This window comes from Homo sapiens, chromosome 7 (assembly GCF_000001405.40).
Source record: "Homo sapiens chromosome 7, GRCh38.p14 Primary Assembly".
In the NCBI taxonomy this organism is placed as follows: domain Eukaryota; kingdom Metazoa; phylum Chordata; class Mammalia; order Primates; family Hominidae; genus Homo; species Homo sapiens.
Genome location: NC_000007.14, coordinates 91,459,410 through 91,474,583, shown reverse-complemented (window position 1 = coordinate 91,474,583; position 15,174 = coordinate 91,459,410). Strand labels below are relative to the sequence as shown.

The 15,174-nt window shown below is 37.1% G+C and overlaps 1 long non-coding RNA gene across 10 annotated transcripts in view; it reads right to left on the bottom strand.

Annotated features, from left to right (window-relative positions):
• LINC02932 (long intergenic non-protein coding RNA 2932) overlaps positions 1–15,174 on the bottom strand; it is a 204,101-nt gene that overhangs the window by 40,842 nt on the left and 148,085 nt on the right. For 8 of the 10 annotated variants that reach the window (NR_183366.1, NR_183367.1, NR_183372.1 and 5 more), the window contains one exon: positions 7,706–7,739. The exons of the other annotated variants lie outside the window; for them this stretch is intronic. This is a non-coding gene — a long non-coding RNA (long intergenic non-protein coding RNA 2932). The remainder of the gene's footprint in view (positions 1–7,705; positions 7,740–15,174) is intronic. 10 annotated transcript variants of the gene reach the window in all.

Sequence of the window (15,174 nt, the reverse complement as noted above, 5' to 3'; positions counted from 1 at the left end):
TTGAGTTTATTCTATTTAGAGTTTGTTCAGCTACTTGGAGGTATAGATCTATGTCTTTCATCAAATTTGGGACATTTTTGGCCATTATTTTTTAAAATATTATTTTTGTTCCTTTCTCCCCTTACCCCTGGTCCATCATTATACTTATGTTGGTAAGCTTGATAGTGTCACATGGCACTCTGAGGTGCCGTTCATTTTTCCTTGTTCCTTTTTTTCCCTTGCTCACCAACTGAATACTTTCCATTAACTTACTTTCAAATTTACTTTTTCTTTTGCTTGCTCAGATCTGCTACTGAGTCCCTCTAGTGAATTTTTCATTTCAGTTATTGTACTTTTCATCTCCAGAATTTCCATTTGGTTCCTTTTTATAAGCTCTAGCTCCTTATTGATATTCTATGTTTATTGAGAATTAATCTCAATTTTTGTTAGTTCTTAGTCCATGGCTTTCTTTAACTCTTTGGGCATATTTAAGACAATTGCTTTAAAAGCTTTGTGTATTAAGTCCAATGGCTGGGCTTCCTCAGGGATAGTTTCTGTTAATTTCTTTTGTTCCTGTGAATGGGCCATACTTTCTTGTTTCTTTGCATGCCTCATAATTTCAAACAAAAAAAAACAGGGCATTTTGAATATTATAATATGGGAAATCTAGAAATCAGACTCTCCCCCTTTCCCAGGGTTTCTTGTTGCTACTTGTGGTGGGTTATATTTATTTGTTAAGTCAATTTTCTAAACCATTTTTGTAAAGACTATATTCTTTGTCATGTGTGGTCTCTAAAATCTCTATTCTATTAACTTAGTGGTTAGCTAGTGACTTGACAGATTTCCTTAAACACTTGGAATCACACACACGAACACAAAACAAACAAATGAAGCCTTCTAGTCTTTTGGAACTGAGCTCTGTGTGTATTTGTGTTTATGTTAGTGCACACTTTAACTATTCAGCTGGAAAGTTTACAACTCTGCCTTTGCCTTCATTTCCTGCCTATGTGGAACTTGAAGGTCAGCCAGAGGTAAAAGCTTAGGATGTTCTCAGATATATTAGGAGTATGTGCCCATCCTGGGCATGCGTATGACTAAATTTCCATAATTTTAAAAACCTTTTTGAAGTCTTTATACTCCAAAACATCTTACTACCCAGCTTTTCTTCCCAGGCTTTTCAGTGTGTCTATTGTTTACCCCAACTGATCTCCTTTGCCCTAAGTGACAGTAGCTGTTCAGTTTCATAGCCATTTCTCAACCCTGAGAGAGTTCCAAGTTAAGCACAATAGAGGCATGCTTTCTGTGTTAGTGTTTCAGGGAGCCACTTGATAGGTCAAAACTGACAATGACAGTTATTTGAAAACAAAATTCACTTTGCTCCCACCATCACGAGGAACACACATCAGGAACTGGATTGTCATCTTCAATGCCATCGCACTAGAGGGGGTGGAAACAAAGGTAAGTTAAAATGCCACAAAGCTCTCTTACCAGGTTTTAGTTACCCCTTTTTTGGTTAAGCATTTGCTTGGCTGCTTTAAGTCTGATAATTTTTCAGAGTTCTGACAAAGTTGATTCTGACAGTGTTTTCTAGTCTTTTCGGGGTTTCTATTGAGCGATGGGCCCTTCGAGTTTCCTACTACCATTTTTGCTGGCATTTTTTCATTAAAAAAAAATCATCTCCCACATAAGCTAGGCACAGAAAGACAAATAGCACATGTGCTCAAACATGGAATCTAAGATAATCAGACACAAATAAGCAGAGAGTAGGATGGTGGCTACCAGAGGCTGGGAGGGTGGGAGAGAAGGGAAGATGATGGTGAAAGGGCAGAAAGCCTCAAATAGGACTAATAAGGATTTTTTTCCTTTGAGATATATTGCACAGCATGGTGAATATCATAAAACATGATGTATTATACATTCCAGAATCACTAAGAGAGTAAATTTTAAATGTTGTCACCGCAAAAAAATAAACATTTCAGGTGATAGATATGTTAATTAGTTTTAATTATTCCACGTTTATTCATAAATCATAACATTACTTTGTAATCCATAAATATATACATCTATAATTCTTCAATTTAAAATTTGAAAAGTAAAAATTAATAATAATAAAAGGTCATCTCCCATTATATCTTATTTCAACTTTATTTAACAAATATCACATTTGTGGATATTTATGGTCCTTTAAATTTGGGAGCCATTATAAATAACATTATGGTGAACATTGTTTATAGCCAGAATTTATATAGGTTAATTTCCTGAGATAATTTCTAGACAAAGAATAAAAGGATGTAAGTTTAGAGTTTTATAGATGACAATTAACTTTAGCAGACAGGAAAAAATATCACACAACCATGATAACTAGTATATCAAGAGTTAAATCTTACAACTATTTGGGCTTTATAACGAGCCACTTGAATGCATTAAGTGTTAATTCAATTGCAACTTGTTTGGCTCTTCCTCAACAATAGCCAGTTTTTGAACTTGAGTTAGTGTATATGAGTAAGCCCTTTAGTGCTCCAGTTGATATGCAGGCTGAAGTTGTCCACTAATCACCAAAGGCCCCCAGTGCATTAAAGACAAGACGGGGAATAAACCTCAATTCTTTTGACTTGGGGGTTGGGGGGCTCTGTCCATTAGTTCCATTGGTCTGTGTGCCTATTCCTAAGCATAAAGTGGTGAAAGGACAGCCTATTCAACAAATGGTGCTGGGATAATTGGCAAGCCACACGTAGAAGAATGAAACTGGATCTTCATCTCTCACTGTACGCACAAATCAACTGAGGATGGATCAAAGACTTAAATCTAAGACAAGAACCATAAAAATTCTAGAAGATAACATGGGAAAAACTCTTCTAGAAATTGGCTTAGGCAAAGAGTTCATGACCAAGAACCCAAAAGCAAATGCAATAAAAACAAACATAAACAGATGGGACTTAATTAAACTAAAAAGCTTCTGCACAGAAAAAGAAATAAACAACAGAGTAAACAGAAAATCCACAGAGTAGGAGAAAATTTTTGCAAATTATGCATCCAACAAAGGACTAATATCCATAATCTGCAAGGAACTCAAACAAATATGCAAGAAAAAAGAAATAATTCCATTAAAAAGTGGTCAAAGGACATGAATGGACAATTCTCAAAAGAAGATATACAAATGGCTAACAAACATATGAAAAAATGCTCAACATCACTAATTACTAGGGAAATGCAAATCAAAACCACAATGCGATACCACCTTGCTCCTGCAAGAATGGCCATAATTAAAAAATAAAAATAACAACAGATGTTGGCATGGATGTGATGCAAAGGGAACACTTTTACACTGCTGATGGGAATGTCAACTAGTACAACCATGATGAAAAACAGTATAGAGATTTCTTAAAGAACTCAAAGTAGATCTAGCATTTGACCCAGCAATCCCATTACTAGGCATCTACCCAGAGGAAAAGAAGTCATTATATGAAAAAGACACTTGCACATGCATGTTTATAGCAATGTGATTTTCAATTTCAAAAATATGGAACCAGCCCAAATGCCCATCAATCAATGAGTGCATAAAGAAAATGTGGTATGTATATACTATGGAATACTACTCAGCCATAAAAAGGAATTAAATAATGGCATTCTCAGCAACCTGGATGGAATTGGAGACCACTATTTTAACTGAAGTAACTCAGGAACGGAAAACCAAACAGTATATGTTCTCACTTGTAAGTGGGAGCTAAGCTATGAGGATTCAAAGGCATAAGAATTATGAACTTTGGGGACTCAGAGGGAAGAATGGGAGGGGGATGAGGGATGAAAGACTAGACGTTGGGTACAGTGTACACTGCTTGGGTGATGGGTGCACCAAAATTTCAGAAATTACCACTAAAGAACTTATCCATGTAATGAAACATCACCTGTTCCCCCAAAACTACTGAAATTTTTAAAAAGTTTTAAAAAATTAAAATGAGACAAAGCATAGGATGAAACTGTGTTTATAAACAATTACATCTCTGTATAATTTGTTCTTGAACTATTAATACAGTGACTATAGTAGACCTGTAATAGGTATTCAATAGATTTGGCAAATTCCTCTTTCTCTCCTAGCAGCCCTTCCCTGAGTCTCTCCAACCTCAATTACTACTAACAATGACATAAGCCTCATACCTAATTCTGTCTATAAAGCAAAACCATTGTTGTCAGTCACATATTATCCTACAATTAGTAACTCTGGTCATACAGTAATTTACCTCTTTTTATTATACAGAGCTATTTATATTTTACTCCTCCCTCTTTGTTGTTGCTTGACCAGCCACAAACCCAATTTGGATCAGAAGACTCATTCCGACGTGCTTGAATTGTGACACTTAAGATCCATTAGATTCTTCCATTTTCTTCTTTTAACATGATATAATTTACCTCTTAATTGATTCTAACAAGTTAGAAAATATTTGTAACTAGGAAGTCAAAGTAGAACAAAAATGTGTTCCTTTGTTCTAAGTGCTTGGTGGGATCTGGGATTTTACGTCTTACTTCTAGTCAAAATCCCTGTAAAGCCAATGGGAATTCTGCACATGGGGAGAGATCAGATGGGCTGGCAAATATTACCAAAGAGAGACTTTTATCTGCTGGATATATAAAAACCTTCTGCAAACCTGCAAAAGTCCTTCTAACCCAGGATATAGTGTGCTTCTGTTCAACTTCAAAATGCTGTGAACCAAAGTATTTCAAGACCAACTTTCAAATTCCAGAAAAGGGTTAAGGTCTAGGATTGTTTTGGTGGTGGTGTTGTTGTTTCTTTTGGTTCATTTCATTTTAGTTTTTAAGTAACAGTTAAAGCATGAATTTCCTGTTATTTTTCCTTAAAGAGAACTAATGTGGAGACAAATTCCAAAGTAGGAATAGGAAACGACTACCAGTTTAGTTAAGGTATGACTAGCACTGTTTGCATCCTTTGCTCCACTTCTCCTAACTCTCATTTGACCCTTAGCATCAAGCTCAAATTATTTTTTCAAGGGCTCTCTGTATGAAAATGAATGGTTATGTCTCCCAAGAGAAGGAAGGCACAATTTACCAAACAGCAAACACTCTATTCCTATTTATTCATCCATTCATTATTTATGAATTGCCCTATATACATCGGGAACTGGGCTGCATGATGATGGAAGAGGTGTGTGCTATTTTCAGAGAATGAATGTCATATCAGCATTTCAGGGCCAGTATGCTGTTTCTTCCAGACCCTGTGGAAATATCCAAGTCTATGTCTAAACTTGTATACTGTTACAAGTAAATTCAATAAAAATAATAAGACACAAATCTTCTGAACTCATTCAGATTGTGCCCTGCATAACTGTTGAAACTTGTTTTAGTTTTTCACTTTTCATCAAGTATTTGGGAAAGAGTTACCTCAGCTTCAGTCTGAAATGTGGAAGCTGAGTGGCTTAGATGTGCTGATTGAGAATGAAATAATCTTATTCTTTTGCAAAAATCTCTCCTTTTAGAACAAGTGTTCCAGCAAGTAATTACTCAATGAAATCTGTACTTACTGATAATTATTCTAGATAACTATTTTTAAGGGTTTACAGTTTCTTCCTTTTATTCTTCAATTTCTGGCAGGAGTACCACAGTTTTCAAGGAAAGTTTGTAGAATCACAGCTTAACCAGAAAGGAAGCACTGCAAGTCCTCCCAGGAAAAAATATTTTTGCAGATCCAGGAAATTTCAAAATTTGGCTCTTTGCATTTGTACCAAAATCTTATAGAGATTTTTTTGGAATTGAGTTTCTAAAAGCTTGGGTGGCTCATTCATCTTCAATAATAACATTAAGAGTTACTGAATGGGTTTGCCAGAAGTGGTGGGAAGAAGTTGCCCACAATTTGGTTCAGCATTTTTGGAATGAACAAAATGTCAAGTTAGAAAAATTGTCAGTTATGAAGTTGCAGCATGCTTTTTCTCCACAAATTAAGCCCAGTGTGGCATTTTATATAAGCTGCATTTCAGGAAATAAGGAGATGGCATCTTTTATCTCTAACTAGGTTCTGGAATTAAATTGCTCTTTTTCACTTGCATCAATATATTTGTCCTCCAATGGCATATGTTTCATCAGGGCAACCATGTGGAAAATTCAGACACAAAGAAGTATTTGTTTCTTGCAAGAGCAATGTGAATACAGTATTAATGTAATTTTGATGCCAGATAACATACTTTGTGATAGCAGAGACATAATAATGAAGAGACTTACAGAGGGCCTGGGTTTGTTGATCTTTGGATTTCTTCCATGGTAGAGTAGTAAAGTTGGCTCAACCATTTCAAAAATCTGGGTATGGTGTGGATATGTTTTATTATTTTCTCCTTCCTGAATTGGGTAATTTATAGCAATTTCAGATTATAAAGATTTTATAAGGGATTTTTCATGCAGACTTGTTCCAGTGGGGTAACAATAATAGCATGCAGCGGAGAGATGATCTCCACAATGAAGCTTATCAGCCTTTGAGAAGCAGGATAAATCTATTGAATAATTTATAGCAACACTAAAGAGATATTATGCCTAGAAATGGGGATTTATGTGGTGATTCAGTTCTTACGGAGGAAGTACAGGAAAATAAAGATGATAGTGACAATATTTTAACATAAATGAGTTAGGTGAGGGATAATCCACACATATTTCAGGATTGTAAGAAAGTTACAATGATGGAGAAAAAAAGATCAATGGATAAAAAATCAGGAGACTGGATTCTAATGCCAGCTAAACAGCTGAGCCACCAAGGGCAAGTGACAATGGTGGGGATAATAATGTTTTTCCAAGTTATTTCATAGGGCAGTTGTGAGCATTCGATGTAATAATAAAGTTCCTTGAAAATTAGAAATTACCTGTCAGTTATTATTTCAGAGCAAGTTTAACAACCAGAATAACAGATGGACAGATCTTGCCTAATATAAAAAAGAAATAAAGTATATCTCCAATAAAACATATGATTTGGCATTCCACTAAATTGTAAGTGGCACCACCTACTAAATCTAGAATGTTTCCTGTGATATGTTGATTTTCATATTAAACTTCAGCATTAATGAATCCTTTTATGCAATTTATGAAATCACAGCTTCAGTGTAGGTCCCTGACAAGGATGGCTGAGAGTTATTGATGGAAGGCTGAAAATGTAAACTAAAGGAAAACCCACATTTGCCTCTGTGCTCTCTTTGTGAACTCAGCAGCAGGAAAATGTGATGGGGATATTTTAGTAAGATCTTCACTGTGAAACTGCCTTCTGAGAGCTGACCGGCCGTGTTCACATGATGCTTTATAGACTGACTCAGACCCCTGGCTAACATAGACCCCAATGGAAGAGTACTAAAACTGAATAAGTAAAATTACCTTTAAAAAATGCATTCTTACTAATTTCTGTGAGGATCTTTCAATTCCAAGTCTTTAGGAATTTAGAGTAATCATCAATTGCCAACAATGGATTCATCTAAATGTTGTCACGTCAAGACCCTAATGAATTTACTTTAATAAGGAAAATTGCTAATTTATAATTAGCTTGTTAATTTTCATTTGTTTGTATTCAAAAAGTTTGTCATCTGTCAAATACAATATCATAAAATCTTAGTTTTACTATGAATTTTCTTTTTTTTCCTTTTTAAAAAATTTTTGGGGTATAGGGTGTATTAGTTTGTTCTCACACTGCTAATAAAGACATACCCAAGACCAGGTAATTTATAAAGAGGTTTAGTTGACTCACCATTCCATGTGGGTGGGGAGGCCTCACAATCATGCTGGAAGGCAAAGGAGGAACAAAGTCAAGTCTTACATGGTGGGCAGGCAAGAAGGCTTTTGCAGGGAAACTCTCATTTATAAAACCATCAGATCTCGTGAGACTTATTCACTACCACAAGAACAGTATGGGGGAAACCACCTCCATGATTCAATTATCTCCACCTGGCCCCACCCTTAACAGGTGGAGATTATTACAGTTCAATGAGAGATTTGAGTGAGGACACAGCCAAACTATATCACAGGGTCTCATTCTGTCACCCAGGCTGGAGTGCAATGAATGGCATAATCACAGCTCACTGCAGTCTTGACCTTCCAGGCTCAAGCAATCCTCCTACCTCAGCCTCCCGAGTAGCTGGGACTACAGATGTGTGCCACCATGCCCAGCTAATTTGAACACTTTTGGTAGAAGCGGGGTTTTGCCATATTACCCGGACTTGTCTCCAACTCCTAACCTCAAGCAATCCACTCATCTCAGGCTCCCGAAGTGCTGGGATTGCAGGCATGAGCCACTACCCCTGGTCACTAAATTTTCTTAAAAATTTATATTGTTGGTCAAAGATGGACTTCTACCTAGCTTCTGCTTATCCTAAGTCCCAAATCGTGGAGTTCAAAGCTTTCCTCATAATCTGGTGAACTTCAGAATATTGGAAAGTTAATGCATTATTATTTCTTATTCTTATAAAATTTGATTCCAATTTCTCTTCCCTTTCAATTTATAAAGAGAATTACTTAAGAACCAAGAAAAAAATTGTTTTGACAATACTTTAGCCCAACAGGAAGCTCTGTAAGTATCTAAAGAAACGTCACTCCTCAAATATTGCCAAGTCATTTTTTGCAGATGCAAGAAATTTAGATAGTTTTAACCAGCTCAATTTCCTTACCCTTTGACATGTAGATGTCTCACTGTCAAAAATAAAATGTAATAAAAATAAAAAATAATTTTAAACAGCAGGAAAAGGGAAATAATGAATCATCAGCTGGGGATGGAAAAGCTTAGGTGTTTATACTGCTGAAGCCGCTGTACTTTTTATTTTTCTTGAATAGTTAGGTGGGGACAATAGACTGAAAGACTATTGTGAGTCAGTATTCTAGGCTCTATCTTTATTTCCATGTTCTTGCATCTAGGTTAATTTCCCCATCAACCAAATACTGAGATTTTGAGTGTATTGTTGAGTGAATGTTTATATAGGCTTAAGATTTTTGGGTTAAAGGTGCTATTTAAAAAAGAATATTATTGTTATTACTCATGAAAAATAGTTTTAGTGCTGATTTTGGCAGGGACTGGCAACCTTCATATTGGCTAGCAAAAAAAAAAGTCAACACAAATTCATCAAGTACATTTCTCTGCACTAGAAACTAATGACATAAGAGCTATTAGGCTTGGAATTAAGAATACTTTCTTTAGAAACTAATAATCAAGTATGAACAATCTTTCTCAAGAAAAAATACAAATAATTTATCTACTCGATTAAGTTTTGGGTAAAATACTGGGCACAAGTAGACACTTAATAGGCTTGTTGGTTGACTTTTCTCTCTAATACCTGAACTAATTCTATCCTTTATCCAACCCACCTGAAGCAGAGTAGATTATCTAGGAAGGGTCTTTATAAATAATTTTTATTTCTGTGTTCTGAGAGCCACATTTCCTTAGAGAGAAATTCACAGAGAATGGCCATGTATCAGCAAACTATTTTTCAAAGCATTTTCAGAGATGAGGGTGTGAGGGTGGGTTATCAAGGATAAAGTTAGAATTTCTGTCACCCACATTTTCAATTAGAATGCCTTCAGCTGCAGTTAACAGAAAACTTCTATTAAACAGGTTAAAATAATTATTTCCCAAAGACACAGTTTCTCAGGTCTCTGTCTCTACCTCTCTAACACCCACTTTGGGTCTACAATGCTTTCTGGTCGGGTTCATTCTCAGGCAGACATCAGGATGGCTGTAGCAGTTCTAGGCATCACATCCGGATATAACTGTGTCTAGAGAAAGAAAATGGGCCATGTCTTCCTTGTTAACTTTTTAGGAGCAAGGAAATCTTTCCCATAATTCCCAACCCCACCTAGCAGACCTTCCTTAATGGATCATTGGTTACAATCAGATCACATGCTTTTCCTAAACCAGGCACTGGCAGGGTGAACGGGATTAGCAGGATTGGTAGACTAATTGGATAAGGAGGAAATTATGTTGGGAGACCTCCATCCATCATGATACCTTTACCTGGGGAATATTTAGTTCAAATTTCCGTAAAATAAACAAAAAAGTACAAAATAAATTTGTACTTAAGTACAAATTCCATAATTTATAAGTCCAGGATATACTTTGACTAGAGTCTGGAAGTTGCTACTTTAAAAAATAATAATAACCTAACCACTAAAAGCATCTGGCATTAGGAGTTTCTCTTCATAGAATCTGTGTTTTATGGATTCCAAATAATGAACTAAAGGACAAAACCGGGACCTGCAGAGTTCATAGTTTTAAAAATCTTCACTACAGGTTCTGAGACTCCACATTCAAAGTCACCTATCAAATACCCAGGCAAAGATGGTAGAAAAGACAGGGCAAAAAGATTACCCCCACTTCAACTAAGACCTTCAACTCCTCTATGCCAAAAGCATCTTTACCAGACTAATTAGACTGGAGTCATGAAAAAAGCACTGGATAGGGAGCTGGGGAATACTCAGCTTTTTTTTTTTTTTTTTTTTTTTTGAGACAGAGTCTCGCTGTCGCCCAGGTTGGAGTGCAGTGGCGCGATCTCGGCTCACTGTACTCAGCTTTGCTATATGTAGATGTGGTCTCTCATGACCAAGGAACTTTGTGTGACCTTATGCTTAGGTAACAGGACGGTCTGTGCTGAGGTCCCTAATGCCTTTTTTTAAACTCTAAGAAAATATGATGTTGGCATTCTTTAATTTCTGCTATGTATCCTTAGAGAGAGGTTCTAATATGGAGAAAAATTGCTTCAAGAGAAACAGCCCAAGAGAGAGCAAACCTAGCTAAACAGGACTGGGCCTAATTGACTCTGGAATAATTGAGTATAACCTCTGAGTGACCTCAGGACCAAAAGCATGGCTTATTTATAACGTCCAGAAAAAAGCACACTGCCTGGATCTCAAATACCTTTAGCAGTTGTGCAGGATTTTTCTCAGAGCCACGTCACCAGCTGGAGACCTCCATGGCCAGTGATGCCCCTGCCTGTGCCTGGCTCAGCCCCGGACTCACCACAGGAGGTACCCTCTCCACCCAGCCCAGTGAACTGCGCCTGGCTTGCACTCCTGCGCAGATCCCACACTCGCCACGGGATCCGCGCTCAGCCCGCAGCTGGGCTGGGTATGCCACAACCTGCTTCTGCCTTGGGCGTGGAGTCTGGACGAGGGGAATGCTGTGTCACCTGAACAGGGATGCCAGCAACCGTGAAGCCCAGGGGGGTGTTTTACAGTGTGCTAACAGCTCTTTTAGTCCCGTGGCCCTGTTCTTGACCACGGCTCTGGGGCTGGCCTAGCCCTGCCACGGCTTCCCGTGATGTGGGGTGTCTTCGCGTAATGTGGGATGGCTTCCCACCTCTGGCAGAGGGTGGAGGGCTACAGTGTTACAGCCTTTCTGGTACTCAATTTTGGCAGGTCCCGAGTTCTTGTTTCACTTCCAAGAATAAAGAGGTTACCCTGACAACCGAAGGTGAGGAGAGTTTTACTGAGCGACAGGTCTCAGCAGAGAGAGGACCCCAGAGTGCAGCCCCCTCTCCGAAGTTGGGTGGTCTCTTCCCACCTAAAGGCGGGCAGTCCCAAAGTGTGGATGAATCCGGGGTTTTTAGGGGCTCAGAATAAGGGAGTGCATGCTGATTGATTTGTGAGTATGCAAAAAAGGCTAAAACAAAGACAGCACTCAAAGATGGGTATGACAGTGTAAAAACCCAGCTAGGGAAGGGTAGGTATATGTAAAATAGGAGAAGGGCAGAGATCTATCAGAGGAAAGTGCGCCACACGGGAAGAGAGATTCTGAATCTGGTCCATTGATTTATCAAGACTTGTAGCTTGGCTTTCAGGCTTTAAAGTGTCTTTGGTTTGAAGGTGGGGTTTCACCAGAAACCCGCCTCATCTGCCTAGGGATATGTCTGCCTCCTGCCCCTATCAGCAGTATTTATGTGGGAGAGGAACAAGAGAAAAGGGAGTACCTAGGAAAACATAAATAGAATAATATAGAAAACACTACATCTTTCAACTCTCTTCAGTTTCTGACACATTGCTATTTGCTCAAGTGATCTTCACCACAACTTAGTGATGTAGAAAGAAAATATGCTGTGGCCCCCATATTACAGATAAAAAAATATAAGAGGCAGAGAGCCCAGAAGAACGATATTAGCTGAGCCAAGAACAGAATTGGATCTTTTCAATGGAGAAGTAGTCTTTAGGGGATTCCACATATTTTTTAAACCATGATTCTCATATTTGTAAGATAAATTTACAATCTAGTAGCTGTTCAACAACTGACTTCTAATAAAGTTTTGATTGGTGGTATTTTCATATATTCATTCAATAAATATTATTGATATCTGCCATGTGCTACATATGCTTAATGATGTCTCCATATTGAAGTATGTTTATTCCTATCTTCTGAATAGTCCCTCTGGGTTGAAAAACCTCTTAGTTAGCTGAGATATTTTGTTGTTGAGTTTAAGTCTCTTTTTTGTATTTGTTAAAACAGGAAATAGAATGACTGAAGAGCTAAGAGAAAGGCTTTTGCCTCATTCCATACTTAATGCCTTCTTGGCTAAGCACTTAGTGAAACTTTTCCTAAAACTACCTGCACAGTCAGAAGCAGTTTATGTTACTTCAAGGTCTTTCAAATTGCTGCATCTACTTAGCTGTAAAGTTTCTGGGGCAGATTAACACTGCTTTTCCCAGTTAACTTAAACACCATTATTCCTAATCTTTTAAACCGTAGTCATTTTGGCTAAGTAAACTCATCAATTTGTTCCATTATTATGAATCCATGATCATGCCAGGCACTTAAGTAGCAAAGGAAATTTCAGAATGATGATTTAACTCCTCCTGGTCCAAGAAAAAAATGCCCTGGTAAAGGATGGAAACAAGTCCTGGCAGGTAACAGTAAAACCAATGTTTTCTCTACAGACCATGATGATACTTGTAATTACTATCACCTAAATCAAAATGATTAAAGTAAAATCATGTCCTTCCAGATGCTCATCATACACTTCCTCACAGTAAATTAAAGTCACCATTAAACATCTGAAATGTCTATAATTTGAACCACAGCTGCAAGAAAAGTCACTCAATTGTGAATTTGTTAACCATATATTATTGCATCAAGTGTAGGCTTTCCTTCCCAAGACCAGTATTGCCCCCATTGGAATAATTTTTTAAAGAATGACATTGGTTGTGCTCATAGCTACTCCATGACTAAGAGGTAGCATGTTAAACAGGAGAAAAAAAAGTCTACTTTGACAAGTAACAGTTTTTAAAAATAAAACTAGTTTTATGTTTTATGTTCGAACTATTGAGTCTACTGTTTATCATAACCATCTCTCTTTCCTCCCCCACCCCAACATACACACACCCCACATCAGTAGTGTCAAGATACGAAGCTTGTCATAAAAAAAGTTTAAGATAATTCTAAAACCATTATTTAAACTACAGTGTTCATTTCTCCCCACAAATTGAGGTATTTGCCAAGTAAACATATTTACTTAACTATGACCTGGCTTTCTTCTAGTGTCCAAGCCTCTTTTCCAATGGAGAAACAGACAAGTGGGGATAAAATAACCAAAGAATAAGAGAAACAGAGAAGCTATATAATTCACAAAGAGAATAATCACTCTTTCAATTACCAAATTGGACTGCACTTTTGAATAGCTTTGAAATGTTAAAAGAAACTCATGAGTCTTTCTGGTGATTCACTGAGAACCAGCACAGAAAGCTCTTCTATAGATTCATCAATCATTTCAAGAGCCTAGAAATTAAAGAAAATTATTTCTTGGATAGGCCATCAAGAAAGAAACAGCTCCCTAACTAGTTAGATCTATTATGTAAAAATGAAAACTTGTGCAAGTACAATTCAAAGTGGATTTTAAATTTTTGAAATTCAAGTATATTTTGATTATTTTTTAATCTTAGAAGGCAGTTTCCATAAGGCAGATAATATATCTTTTATATTCATCTAGTCCAGGATAATAGTGGGGAACGCTGGAAATGGTTATTGAATACTTATTCTTCATAGAAAATGACTCTTCATCTAATACTTTGGCAAAATGTTTTCTTTCCTGGGTAAATGATGAAGAGTAGAGTTGCTCAGTTACATGGGAAATTCATATTTGACTACAGTCATAGGCCACACCATGACGTTTTTGTCAATAATGAACTGCATATAGGATGGTGGTCACATAAGATTACATGGGAGCTGAAAATTTCCTATTGCCCCATGATGTCTTGATGATCCTGACCCTGTGTAGGCCTAGGTTAATATGTGTATTTTTGTTTTAGTTTTTAACAAAAAAGTTTTAAAAGTGAAAAAGAAACATTTTAAAAATAGGATAAGGATATAAAGAAAGAAAATGTTTTTGTACAGCTGTACCGTGTGTTTGTGTTTTAGGCTAAGTGTTATTGCGAAAGTCTAAAAGCTAAAAAAATTAAAAATTTATAAAGTAAAAATGTTACAGTAAGCTAAAGTTAATATGTTATTGAAGAAAGAACTTCTTTTTGTTGTTGCTGTTTGTTTGTTTGTTTGTTTGTTTTGAGACAGGGTCTTGCTCTGTCACCCAGGCTGGAGTGCAGTGTCATGATCATAGCTCACTGCAAGCTCAAACTCCTGGACTCACAGGATCTTTTCACCTCAGTCTCTCCAGTATCTGGCACTACAGGCAAGCGCCAACCAGCCTGTCTAATTCTTTTATTTTTAGTAGACATGAGGTCTCATTATGTTGTCCAGGCTCGTCTCAAACTCCTGGCCTCAAGCAACCCTCCTGCTTTGGCCTCCCAAAGTGCTGAGCCACCATGCTGGGCCTGAAATTTTTAAAAAATAGATTTAATGTAGGCTAAGTGTATAGTATTTATAAAGTCTCTTTAGTGTACAGTGAGTCCTAGGCCTTCACATTCATTCACCAGTCACTCACTGACTCACCCAGAGCAACTGCCAGTCCTGCAAGCTCTGTTCATGGTAAGTGCTCTATACAGGTACACCGTCTTTAAAACTTTATACTTACAGTTTTACTGTACTTTTTCTATGTTTGGATGTACCATTTAGCCTAGGTGTGTAGTAAGTTATATCATCTAGGTGTGCACATACATATACTCTATGATGTTCTCACAATAAGGAAATCACCTAATGATATATTTCTCAGAATGTATTCCCATTTTTAAGTGACATATAACTATATAAAAATTGTCACACTATTTTCAAAAGTGGTTTTACACACTCCCAAC